Genomic DNA, 14,117 nt, shown 5'->3' with positions numbered 1-14,117 from the left:
AATCCTAGGACTTCTTTTCACTTGTTAGTTTCATTGCCTTATGCAAGTAACTTTCCAAAGCCCCTGTTTCCACATCCATTGTCAATAGTGATAAAATTTCTATATCATAAAGTTGTCATGAGGATTAAATGTTAATTTTATGCCTGAAACATAGTAGGAACTCAATAATTGTTATCTCTTATATTCATATGGTAGTTGTTTCCAAATGTATTCTTCTAGAAGTATTTTTTACAGTAAAGAGACCCAGTGAACTTGCCTTTCTTATATAATTGGCATTCTTGCTAGCATAACTGTATGGTTTCTCTAATCATGATAGGTATCACTTTAGAGGAAAGATTCTGCTGGTGTTTTGCTTTTCTCCAGTTTATACTTTCTGCCAGAGAGAGATATCACACATTTCCAATTTCAACCAACACTTCCTATGAAGATGGTACTCAAATCTTCATCTCTCTGGAGTCTAGGCTGCATTGGGAATGAAATGAAGCCATATATGGGAGAATGAACAGTCTCCACTGGAGAGTACTGAAGGGGAAGCATTGTAATCCCAGTTAATTCCAAAAATGGAGAAATGAAAGAAGTAGAGTTTCCAGGGGCAAGAGAAGAGTTTTGGGAAGGAACAGACTGGAGCAGTACATACAGCAATGTCTGTCTGGCACATAAGAGACATTTGATCAATATTTGCTGACTTTAAGAAAGACCATTCCAATTTAAACTCCCACATATTAACTTATTTATTCAACAGTAACATATAATATAATCAGGTAGTAAGAATTCCTATGAAGGAAAATGAACCAAAACAGGAGGATAAAATGATGAGCAATGCTGATTTAGGGTATTCAGGGAAAGCCTCCTTGAGGAAGTGACATTTGAGTGAACTCCTGAATTAAGTGAGAGAGCTGGCCATGTAAATAGCAGGGGAAGAGTATGTAGGGCCTTATAGTCATAACTAGATGAGTCTGGTTCTAAGTTAATTGGAAGATCACTGGAAGATTTTATGCAGAAGAATGACAAGATCTGGCTGGCCTTCATCTTCAGAACAATCATCGCAGTTTCTCTGTTGGGATTAGACTTTGGGATTAGTGGAATCAGAGAGCTGCTGCAATTATCGAGGGAGGAGATAATGGTAGATCAGAACAGGTAGTAGCAGTAATGATACTGAGAAATAGTCAAATTCTGGATCTATTTTGAGGGTAGAGCCAACAGGATTTCTTGACCGATTGACATGAGAAAAAGATAGAAGTGAAGGATACCTCCAAATGGTCAGCTTGAGTCTCTGAAGAATAGAATCATCATTTACTGAGGTGAGGGAAAACTCAATGACATAGAAATCAAGATTTATCTGTTAAACATGTTGTTTTATATTATTATTAAGCTCGTAGGTAGAGATTTTAAGTGAGCATTCTGGAATTCAGGGGAGAGATTGGGCTAGAGCTATAAATTTTGGAGTTGTGAGTACATAAATGGTGTTTAAATCAAGGATACTAGATGAGATCACCACAAGAGTGAGTGTAGATGGAGAAGAGGACTAAGAACTGAAACTTCAGGCACACTAATATTTACAGTTCAGGAAAATGAGGAAGAACTATCAAAGGGCTTGGAGAGGGAGCGATCAATGAGGTGAGAGGAGAATCAGCAGAGTGTGGTGTGCTGTAAGCCAAATAAAGAATATATTTCAATATGGACCGCCTTTTTGTTCAGGCCATGCTGCAGTAACTACATGTAGGTGTAGCTTGATGCTACCTCATTCAGCTTTATCTCATACTATTGCTTCCTGCTGTGGGGCTTCTCTGCCACCACCATGTGGATCACCTGAAGGACCCTGCTCAGTGAGTCCAAATCATGTGCCAACTTGCAAGTGCCAGTGAGTAAACACCCTCTAGGATTACACTTAATTAATGGGAGATGAGATTTGATAGAAAAACACTCTCCTCTTCTATGTCTGATGGAAAATTCTGGGGCGCATTCTACATGGCTCCTTAGAGAGTCCTCAGTGGGAATAATCTTCAGTGGAAATAATCCTCAGTTGCCTATAGTAGTAAACAGATCAATAACATGCCCTTGGACTGATGTTCCTTCCTTTCCTGGCTCACCTTTCTCAGTCCCTTCTCCTGTTTTCTGAATCACTTCCCTCAAATAAACTAACTGCATGCGGCTCATTGTCTCAGGTGGGGGTAGCTGTTAATGTAGACGGCACGATGGACTGGTACAAATGCTAGTGATAAACTGAATAAGATGACTGAGAATTGACCATTGGATTTAGCAAAGGTAGGATCATTGGTGACATTGAAAAGAGCTATTTTGGTGAGCATTGGTTTAAAAGCTTGGCTAGAGTGAGTTCAAAAGAAAGGCTATTTTCCAGTGATATATTGCAAGGTCATAGGATGGGAGTGAGGCATGGAGAGGTGGGGTATTGAGGTGTGATGAGAGAGAAGTGTGAAGCAGTCCTTTTAAAGAGTTGATTTGAAAATAAACTGAAGAGAGAAATAAATAATACCCGGTGGTACTAAGGGCACGCTTGAATGTACCGTTTTGTGTTTTTCTCCAATCACATTCAGCTGTTTAGATGAAAATGTGGAACAAGTGATTATACTTAAGGTTCAGATTTTGTCAGGCAAGTATGCTAGAGGGAGAGAGGGAATGTAATCTGGGTAACAAGGGAGGTTCAGAGTTTGGGGGTATGATGGATAATAAACAATTGGGGATTAAACATCATATTAAAAATTATATACAAGTCATGTCAAGATACGCTCTCAGAGTGTAAGGAGGCACTATTAATAAATATTTTAGAAACAGGTATTAGCTGAGACAGTCCTGGGCAAATCGGGATGCATTATAATCCTATTAATGTAGCCATTTTTGTACTGAAAAGAAGATTGCAGTAGTTAAGAGCACAAAATCTTTAGAGTCATGGTTCCTGGGTTCAAAACTAGGCACAGAAAAGCTAACTTGCTAAAGGTGGAGCTACAATCCTTTAGATGAAACCCATCAAGCATGGCTCCCTGCATTGCACACTCTCTTGTATATTATCTATATCTTCTGATTCTAAATTCAGTGCTGCTTTTGGACTTCAGGTATGCTCTAGCCTCTTATGCAGTAATTACTGTTTATTCTCCTTCTTGGCTCCAGTCTCCATCCTGTTTATCTGAAGTGCTCTTGAAATAGATTTCAGTTTCTTCAACTATTAACACCTACCACAACCAAATTTGACCCTTCCTTCAGAACTACAGATTGAGTCTGATTTTTCATTCTGTTCACCTGCACTTTATGCAGCTCATACCTACGCTCTTGTGCTAATTGTTGTGAGGCAAAGTATACGAACTTCTTCGGCGGTGTAATTACCAGCAAGGAGCTCTTTGGGTCTATATTTTCTAGGAAATCATAGGCCCCTACATGGCCTCTAAACAACCCAATTTTTCCTGAACATAGGTCATCACCTCTTAATTACCTGAAAAGAAACCCCTGCCTGAGATGAATCTGAATTATAAATATTTGTCATTATACTTTTAGGCCTCTTGATTTACAGTAATTCATTGTCTCTCTACCCTCCCCTTAAAAGGGAGGTATTTCAAGATGAAATGAGAATATATTTACCAAATAGATTTTTAAAACTTACTTGTAATGTGATATATAGAATTACCTAGTTTAATCATGGCATGTTTTACATTTTTTAGTATGGTTCAAATAAGAAGATAAAGAAGTGCTTTATTAAATACATATATTTTTGTATTTAAAAATAACTTTCAAATAAATACTTAAAAATCATTGGCAAAAATGAATGATGAATTAGGAATGTATATTATAATTTCAAAATAAGGAAGACATAAGAGGCCCATTTTATAAATGGTACAGAATTTTATTTTTAACAAATAAGTAGCCAGATGTATGACTCCTAGGGGGGTAGAAGTGGCCCTCTCTGGAAATTCATAACATCCAGGATGGATACGATGGGATTGGATATGGATATCCTGTTCTGGGGCGCTGGAGTTCAAGAAATGTGTTTCTTGTGGTTACAGATTATTCTGGGAGTACTAGATCCTCAAATAATCTATTTCCTCAGATGCTCCAAGTCAGAAAGCCCCTTTCCTCCATTCTGGCTTCTACAAAAGAAGCTCCTCCTAGTGGGCAACCCTCCCCCTTGGCTTTCCATGGGTAATGCCTTTCAGAAGACACGTCCTTTTTTGACCTTCTCCCTTCAACCAGGACCAGCCTTGGGAATGAGATCTACGAGTTCCATTGAAACCCTGGGCTAGTTCAGTACTAAGGCCATGTTGTGGTTGACTGAGTATAAGAAATCCAGATATCCCACTGCTTTTATATTCCTCTTGATCCCTATTCCAGCAAGGGCAAGAGAAAAATGTATGACCTTTTTCCTCAACTGCTAATTTTGATTGTCACTGAGGCCAACCTCAGATTAAAGGCACATACGACCTACACAAGTGTTCAATCTTGTTACATGCTATCAGGTAGACACAATACCTAAAAGATTGACTAAAATAAAAACAACTTTTATTATGTTGTTTTAGAGACTTAGCCCCACATATATGTTATACATTAATTCCCTTGCATTTGTATAGAACCTTGTACATTAAGAAAAATGCTTCTGCTTTAATGATTCTCATACACTCTCTAGGCTTTATTATCGTCATTTTACAGATGAGAAAAGCAAAGGCTCAGAGGGGGAATAGGGTAGAGATAGAAGCAGTGTAGTATAAAGACAAGAATTCTGGCCTAGGAGTCAGCAGACCTGGATTCTTATCCTGACTTGGTCACTAACTCACGGTGTGGTTATGAGTAAGTCACTTTCCCTCTCTTAGCCTCACTATCTGCATTTATGGAATAAAGTGATTCAATTTTCTCAAATCTGTTTGCATATTATAATCATCTGGGAACTTTAAAAATCCATTCCTCAACACCTCCAAAGATTCTGACTTAATTGGTCTCAGGGTACTGTGATTTCTACAACACCACTTTGACTCAGAAAAAACCAATCCAGGGAAACCACAAATCCAGTCTGGTATTTCTCTCTGAAGGAGAGAAACCTTGTCATTTGATATAAGATCTAAGTACTATGGAGCATGTCCTAGAAGGGAGTTTGAAAGGCAGATAGTGTTAGTGGCATATTCTAACTTTGAACCTCTAGGAGAGAGGCCAAGTCTCCACCCATCTCTCTCTCTCTCTCTATCTTTCTCTCTCTTTCTTTCTTCTGCTGTCTCCCTTTCTCCTCCCCCGACCCCCCACCCCATAGAATCATTCCAGATGGAGAGCTATAGGAGTTTGGAAAAGAAGAGTGTTGATATAAGTCAAGGACAAAATAGAGTTAAAGGGTACAACTGAACCAAGTAGTTAGTAAATGGTGTTTTAGGTGAGAGAAACACACTGATTATAGAGCTTTTTTTCTTTCACATACATCATTTTCTTAACCTTTGTTTTTCTTTCTGGATCCACATTTACTATTACTTCCCATTACTTTTTTCTTTCTTTCTTTCAATATGGTTTATATATTAAGAAAGGCCTGGGGCCTTCTCCTCTTTGGGAGGTCTTCACCTCCATTAAGAAAAAAATTCACGAGTAAAGTTGTTTAAGCCAACTAATCTCTAGAGTAAAAATGAGTATTCCCCAAACTAATTCTGTTAAGCCTTGGTGTGTGAATCCCCATCCAAGGACACATGATTTTCTATCCAAGACTATAAAGCTGAATATCAGAGTCTTTTGGAAACTTCATATAAATACTTTTCTATATAAAGAAATGCATATATGAATAACTAAATAATTGGTAGATATTAAAAAAAATGACTGTCCCTTTCCTTGCAGTTTCTTTGTAGTGTTTCTTTTTGTTATCAGAGTGGTAAGACTTTGAAGATGAGGATTAAAGTACTCTAGGCCTTAGGACACAGGTTCAAAATGACTCTTCAGGGTTCACATATGGTCAACCCCATCTTGTTACAAGAGAACATACCTGTGGCTTGCCTACATTACCACTTCTGTGTTCAGCAGTTTAGTTAGTTCTTCAAGGACCTGGGAGCTTCCAGAGCCTTGACATCTCTGTCTTTTACCATCAGAGGGATGACTATTACCTGGTATGGTCAAAAGGATTGCCAGGTTAGTTTGGGAATGACAATGTGTGGGTTAGAATTACCTTCTTCTTTTTCAGGAGATTGGCCAACAAATACATATGGGAGCAAACATATATAACTTGGATTGTAATGACAGCAAGATTCCTAACATTAGTCAGTGTCATTCCCAAAATGCCTTTCCTTATCTTGTCCATCCTGGCCTTTAACAGCAGCAACACTGGTAGTGTCATGATCTTATCTTTGAGAGTGAAAATAAGGATATGGGCCTAAACTAGGATAAAGGGACCAAGAATTTCAGTCCTACAAAATCTTATCAAACCTTCGGCCAAAGGTCCAAATGGGGCACTAATGCTTTTGCTTTATGTGACAATGATCTATAGGACACAGGGAACTATTGTATATGTGAATAAAAGGTAGCATAATTCTTATAATGTGTCTGTGTCATAATTAGTGGCTGAAATATTTTTTAAAAAGCCAGCCAACCAACTCATTGCTTTATTTTCATGTTACAGAATACCTTGTTTAGCCATTTTTTCCCCAGCATTTATTGACTTAACCAGTTTTCCTGCTATTATGCTCATGGAACCTAAAAGAACATATGTGCCTTCACATACATATTTTGACTTACACATGCTTTTTGAGGAGTTCAATAATATGAAATTCCTTTTTATATTAAGAAGAAAGATATTTTGAGAGTTTGTTACTCCTTTAATTGAACAGGGAATTAATTTCCATATAAAAAAGAAGCCCTTTAAAGCAAGCTAGAGAATAAATAGGTTCAGGAAGGCAAACATAGTACAGTTCTAAGAGCCACAATAAAGCTTTATTTACTTTAAAGGTGGTAGGTTATCTCTAACTTACTTCGAAGGAATGTGATTAAAGACATAAGGTAAAAGCACCACCCTAGTGTAGCACTTTAAATTTAATCTCCCTATATTCATATACTTGCCTTACTGTTTATAGTGGAGCCACAATCCTTCCCATTATTGCTGAAGCATGAAATGCCAAGGTACATATTTAAGTGCCCATCACGCACTACCCAAAAATGTAGAAGGGTAAATATCACATGGGGAAGAATTTGACTAATGAGATGAGAGCTAGCAGATGAATTCACCTCCTTTCCTCCACCACGTGGGCTGTATGGAGATGTAGTAGTTTTATATGGTCTGTCACAAAAAATTGCGAAATTAGCTTGCCAAGGAACAGACTGTGGCCAACTCAGTGACATGCTTTTTATTTGTTCTTCTTTCTTCCCTCCCTCATTAACCCTTTCCTTACTCATACTACCCTGGATCGTACATAGCTTTTGCTTCAAACTCTATTTTTTAAGAAACTGAGGCTAAGATACCTGGAAATTAGGAACTCTGGTATAAAGTCATAATTCCACTCAATTTTCAGAACTGTGTGACTTTGGACAGGTTATTTTCCCTCTCTGTGCATCCCTTTCTCCAGCTATAAAATGTTGACATTGGACTAGATGTTCTTTAAGGGTCCTTTGGCCAAGTTAAAGGATTCAGTGTGAAGGAGCTGTTGGTAAAATGTGTTATACGGACCAGTGGTCATCAGTGGTTTGCTTACATTTGAATCAGAAGAGCGCTCTCAATATAATCAATAAGGTTGAATGTTAACAGCTCTAACAAATCTTAAGCTCCAAAAATAGTCTCAGTTATACTTTGTTCAAAAAAAAATTGAATTAGTTTTCCCTGGCCAATAAAGATAAGGCTAATAAACGCTTACCCTCTTTGGCACAAGTGAAAATACTCCCTTAATAGCTCTACATCATAAGCTAAGAAATGGTAACTGGCTGCAAGCATGTTTTCAAAGGGAATAGTGGAAAAGTTTGTAATGTCACCATTTTGGGAGCAAGACAGCTAATATATGATGCCTGTAACTATTGCTTTACTCTTAACATAGCAAGATACTTATTTTAACTCCTAGGTTGCAGGTGGACCAGAGTTAGGGAAAGAATTATTCACCATTTGAGGCTTGTTACTCCAGAATGGTTTACACTGTGCTCCAGCCTTCTATATCTGACTCTGGAGCATGGACCTGGGAGTCAGACACCCTGGGTTCAAATCTTAGCTCTACCATTTACAATTGTTACCTTTTGGCAAGTCACTTAACTTCTCTGTGCTTCAGTTTTCTCATCTGTAAAATAGAGGTTGGAATGATACCTATGTTGTAGAATTGTGAGGAATGAATGAGCTAATATAAATAACATGCTAAAAATAGTGCTTAGCATATAGTAAGCACTATGTAAGTATTCACTATATTTATTATTGCTATTGTGATTAGGGAAGATGGGCTGGAACCACAGGAAAACTCTTGGCTGATATCATATGAAATGTATCAAGGAACCAATATGTGGAAGGCAGTAGAGTTAGGGGCTAACAGATGATTTAACTGCAAAAAAATGCTAAGCAGGAAACACCCTCTAAATATTCCTGTTTATACAGGACATGACACAAAGTAGAAAAATAATGAAAACAGAGCCTCCCTGCAGGATTTAGAGTTCTTTCGTATATATTTTAAATATACATGTGCAATACATTAAAATATATAGAGATGTGTGAATATATATAATCACAGAAGGGATACATACGCACACTCACTCACACGTCCATGCGCATATCCCAACAGGACCCATCTATACGTAAAGCAGATGCAGTCCATATCAGGCCAACTTGGACACAAGTGAAAGCCCTGACTCAACAGCAGATTGCAGATTGCAACTGTATTTGAGTAACCCTTCAATTTCTTCTACCAAGTGTAAGGCCATTTAGAAACACACTGAGAAAGGCTCCTCTGGGTATATGGCAGAACCCAGGGCCCCTCTGGCAGTGCACAATTTGCCTGAGTTAGGACTGCAAGATTGGGATATCAAGGAGCTATCAAGGAGGAGGGGCTCGTGTTATTTTGGGGCCTGAAACTAATAAGCAAACATCCATAGAATAATTTAGCTCCAGGAACAATGCACTAGTGTCAGAGAATCCTTAGATAACTGAGCTCTAAGCACATTTCAGGCAGAAGCAGAGAAGTGTGTGTTGCTACTCATCACCATCCAGCTTGACCCAGAGAACTGGGCAGAGCTTTTCAGGGTAGATAAGTGTAAAGTACAATCAAGCAGACTTGTAAGATTAAAAAGTTACTTAAAATTGAAGGATCTGAAAGCAACATAAGAGGTTACAGGTATTGGTTTGGGTTTATAAATGTTCCAAGAAGCCTAACCTTATATATGGCACCATTTGCAGCAATATCATTAACATTATTAATAATCATCATAACATATTTATATATACAAAAATAGAGCAAAGCAATTCTAGAAGAGGAGGTGTAAGTGAAGGTGTGGGGCTCTGTGCAGCCCAAATGTCAGTACACTTCAGGAAGATTCAGAACCAACAAAAAGTGAGTGGCACATATTTCTGTAATATGTATCCAACAAAGGGACATGGAGGTCCCCTCTTCCCCCCGTGTACTACTATACACTTCTCCCCACTTCTCCACCCTGCAACACACATCCATGCACACTCTAGAAGAGATGATCTATAAAGTTAGAGTCTGGAGGTCTTAAACTAAGTTGGAGCACCTTGATTTCAAGCAAGTGCCCTCAATCTCTGAATTCGTCAGTGAATTTTGGATTCACTTATAGAGGGAAACTGTATAATTCTTGTGTCTTTTAGCAGCAGTCTTTAGGAGCCTGCCATCACCACTGCAGCTTTTTCCCATTGAAGGGGGTTCACAGCACAGGCTCTCTGTACTTTTTAAGAGAGAAGTCAGTTCTCTACATTATACATCTTTCATCTCAGTTTTTCACTGTTGCTGAAATTTAAGTTCTCAGGCAGCTGCCATTGCAGACAAAGCCAGGAGCAAGCACAGTGTGTGCAGCAAAGAGTAGATGCAATGGCGAAGATACAGCTTGGTTAGGGCTTCTTTAAGCTTTTCTTTTCCACACTTGAGCTTCTACAAGGTGACAGAGCCAAAGGTGATGTCCACTGGGGGCAGCCTCAACACCTGATAGTTAATTAGCTACCCACCATGCACTGGAGAAAGACCACCACACTAACTAGGCATGGTTCCTGAAAAGTAATTGAATGGGAATGGCTTTCTGTCACTGTTAATAGAGCCCTAGGAAAAAGTCCCATGACTCAATGTGGTACAGGGGTAAGAATACTGAACTAGGAGTCAGAAGGCCTATATTCCAGTCTCAATTCTGCTGTTAACTCAGTGTGCGGCCTTGGGGGCAAGTCCCTTCCTACCTCCAGGCCTCAGTTTTCCCATCTGTAAAATAAGGGCATTGAACTAGATTAATAGTTAAGATTCCTTCCAGCTCTAACGTTTTATGACTTTTTATGTCCATTATTAACGCCTGAGCCATGCAGTCTCAGGGAAGTTAGCTTCTAAGAGAGAACATACCTCTGTATCCTTTGCTTTGTTCATTTAGCTATAAAGCACGTCTGCCTTTGGCACTTGGGTCAGACATACAAAGTTATGAGCATCCTGATTTACTATCCTACTCAGCATGCTAGTGGAATCTGTCAGCACTATAAGTTGATTATTGAGAAAGGGAGAAAAACTCCAACTAGTTAAACCTGGAAATATAAGATAACTTCGCCTCATGCGCTCACGAACAGGTGAGAGTGGTTGTGAGCACACACACACATCGGGATACACACTATTGCTAGTGATCAGTTCATTACAGTAATCCATTTCCCTTAATAAAAATTAGTAAATAGTATAGCATAGCAAAGTTTGGCATCTAAGGAAACATCTATGGAAAAACAGCACTTTTGGACATGTTAGAGAAAAAGGGACAGGTAGAGAGAGACAAATATAGATCAAATGAGATAGAAATACAGGCAGAGAAAGGATCAGTCTGAAAAAGAAGGAGGGGAGAAGGAGAAAGGGAGGAAGAAAGAGAAAAAGTAAAAGCAGACAGGGTGAGAATGAAGGGGAAAGGAATACAGAACAGAATAATGAAAGAGGAGAGAGGAATAAAGAAGAGAAGGGCAGTAACAGGGAGAAGGGGTCGTATTCCCTGGAAGGTTGAACGCTGTTCCACATGTACCTGTGAAAACCATCTTAGAAGAAAGCTTCCAAAGGCACAGCAGAAAACAGAGTGACGATCAGAGCCTGCATCGAGAGGTATTACATTGGGGAGCCCCTAAACCTCCACGTTGCTGGCCCTGTCAGTCCTCAGTGTTCAAACCTCATACCCATATATCACCTGAATTTGCCATGACAACCATAAAGGCTGAGCTGGCAGGGTGTAAAGACTGAAGAGGAGTGGGATAGATACTGTGAGAAAGAACAAGGCATCCTGCACCAGGATGTACTTGGTCATTCCCCTGACACTGCAGGAACAAAAGAGAGGCCCTAACTTTGGCTAGTTTATCACTCCTCCCCCTCTCCAAAGATGAGGCCTATGCTTTGCTGTTGGGGACTCGAAGGAGAAAAGCTCTGGATCCACCTTGTTGGAAGGTCATACAGACTTTTCCTGGGCCTTGGGGAAGGGTGCACTACCAGAAGAGATCTTTCTGCACACAGTGTTGGTGTGCCTCTTGCAGCGGCAGCCTGGTCGCCGGAGGCTATCATAGCCCTGTTGGCACAGATGGAGGCATCCACGGGTAGGCAGGTAGCAGCACAGGCAGGGTAGGAAGAGGGAGATGAGGCTCATGGCTGCCCAGCGGACAAAGCAAGAACTAGGCCCACAAGAGCAGGGCTCATCAGCACAGTTGTCTTCATCATCAGTGGAGCAGTGGTAGAAGAGGCCCTTGACACAGCAGAGACAAGTGCCATAATCGAGGAGGCTCTCAGCAGAGCAAAGGCAGCGCTGGTTGCACAGCCAGCAGGAGGGGAGAGGGCGAGCTGCTGTGCAGGGGACGCACTTGCAGCGCCCACATTCCTCACAGATGAAGAGGTGCTCACTAGGGTGCCCTGCAGATTGCTCAGCTTCTCCCTTCAGAGCACCATCAGCCTTTGGGTGGACCCCTGCTCCAGGTTGGGTTCGGATGATGGATTGGCCTGAAGGTGAGGGTGTAATGCTGGCCAAGAGCCTTTGATCAGAGGCAGTGGTGCTATGGGACATTGAGCTGGCAATGCTAGATTGGCTCAGATGCTGAGGCAAGGGCTGCAGTTGATGGCACTGGCTGAGACTGCGGGGGAGAGAAGTAGGCATGGTAGCCAGAGACCAATCAGACTTGTGGGTTTGCACAATAAGGGAAGGGCTGGAGAGGGCCTGTTTACAGGGGGCTGGAGGCCGTTCCACGTAGTCATTGCTAGCATGAGTAGAGCGCAGCTGTTCAATAGGCAGAATTTGTTGAAAATCATCTGTCACCGCAGCATCCATTTTGCCTTGATTTTTTAGCTCTGAGTGGTTTTAAGTCAGGGTGGCACTTATGGTGATAAAGAGGAGCCCTTGTAGTTACATGGATTTCAGGGCACATGAGAAAATCCTAGGAGAGAAGGCATAAAAACAGTAAATGAGAACACACAGGCATAAGTACTTTGCAAGAAACCAACAAAGCTCAGGCCCTATCACCACCACTACCTTCAATTACTTTACAGTAATCTTCATGCTACACCTTTATTCTGTAATTAACCTCACTTACTTCTTTATAGGCAAATCTCATCATCCCCTCCAGACTATAAAGAAGTTTGGGAACAAATATCAGATAGTTGATTCTTTTTGTATTCCATCAAATGCCTAGTTTCACAGGAGCAGCTAGCTCATTCAGGTATTTGCTAGCAGAGACATCCAAGCCTTGGGCATCAGAATTCTAATACAAATGGAACCTAATATTAACTGCAAAGGCTATTTTCTGAAGCAATGCTGAAGGAAAAGAGAAAGCCTCAAAAGTCTCCCATGAGAAGTTGCTCATATATATATATATATATATATATATATATATATCCAATCAAAATTATCTTTTCAGTGTGAATTTGTGATAAGCAGAAATAAACAGATAAGAAAGGACATTACTTGATTCAGTGAATACAGGCAAGCAAGGAGAATGCAATAAAGGCAGAGATACAGCAAACACACAGAAGGTAGGAATTAAGCTGTCTGCAGTGTAGTAGGAAAAAAAAAGGCTTCCCAAGAGTATAAGGAAACCAAGACTAATCATCTTGCAGTTCTCTTCACCTTACTGGCTGCTTTAACTTACTAAGGAAGTGATTCTTTTTAAATGGAATGGAGGCTCCAGAATCAAACTTTTGTACACGTGGGAGTAATACTGGGGATCAAGGAACTATAGAAGACAAGTCCTGAATTATTTCAAAAATCATCTGTAATTATACCTATTACTATCCTAAGTCACCTCCATATTGATGAGACTTACCAAGCAGAATCTGCTTGGACTTCTTTTCTCTATCACTACCTTACACAATAAACTGACTTTCTTAAAGGAAAGTGATATTCTTATACCATATTTAAGCTAAGTTGAATGTCTAGAAAGCATATGCTTGCATTTCCATTGTACTACAGTCAGGAAGAGGTGGTTGGTCATTCCCTGAAGGATTTTACCAAGCCTAGAACTGATAATGATGACCATGGGGAAAATACTGTACAAATAGCAGACTGCTGTATTGCACCACCTAGAAGACTGAAGAGTCAAAAAGGTGTACATGAAGAAACCTAAACACAAATCCAGGAAACATCCTGGAGGCATTAGGACGTAGCAAAACACTAGCATGAATAAAGTATATATTTGAGATCCATCAGATTTCAGGCCTTCTCAAAATAGATCAATTACTCACACTACTGTATGTGATGGATAGCTTGAATGAGTAATAGAAATGAACAAGTGAGAGAGGATGGTGCTTGATTACGTTTCCATAAGCAAGCAAACATGACACTGAAATGGGCCCAAAGCTCAATAACAGGAAAAACAAGGATGCAGTTCATAAAGGACTCAGTGGCTAATAATATGACCAGACTCAGTTGACTTTTGAGGCTATATCCTCATGCAAACCTGATAAGCTGAATTTACATCTGCTCATTACTTGAAAAGATTTAATTTGGTTACAAATAACCTTTTTGGCATA

At 39.9% G+C, this 14,117-nt stretch overlaps 1 protein-coding gene across 5 annotated transcripts in view; it reads right to left on the bottom strand.

The window, feature by feature from the left end:
* Positions 1–3,832: 3,832 nt before the first annotated feature.
* The window catches only part of SPRY3 (sprouty RTK signaling antagonist 3), a 169,874-nt gene continuing 159,589 nt past the window's right edge, over positions 3,833–14,117 (bottom strand). For all 5 annotated transcript variants that reach the window (NM_001394353.1, NM_001394354.1, NM_001394355.1 and 2 more), the window contains one exon: positions 3,833–12,526. In NM_001394353.1, the coding sequence (NP_001381282.1) occupies positions 11,554–12,420 (867 nt within the window). In that variant the 5' untranslated portion in view covers positions 12,421–12,526 and the 3' untranslated portion in view covers positions 3,833–11,553. The remainder of the gene's footprint in view (positions 12,527–14,117) is intronic.

This window comes from Homo sapiens, chromosome X (genome assembly GCF_000001405.40).
Source record: "Homo sapiens chromosome X, GRCh38.p14 Primary Assembly".
NCBI classification, from domain to species: Eukaryota; Metazoa; Chordata; class Mammalia; order Primates; family Hominidae; genus Homo; species Homo sapiens.
The sequence above is the reverse complement of the archived record's forward strand: the minus strand, read 5'-3'. Positions and strand labels throughout refer to the sequence as shown.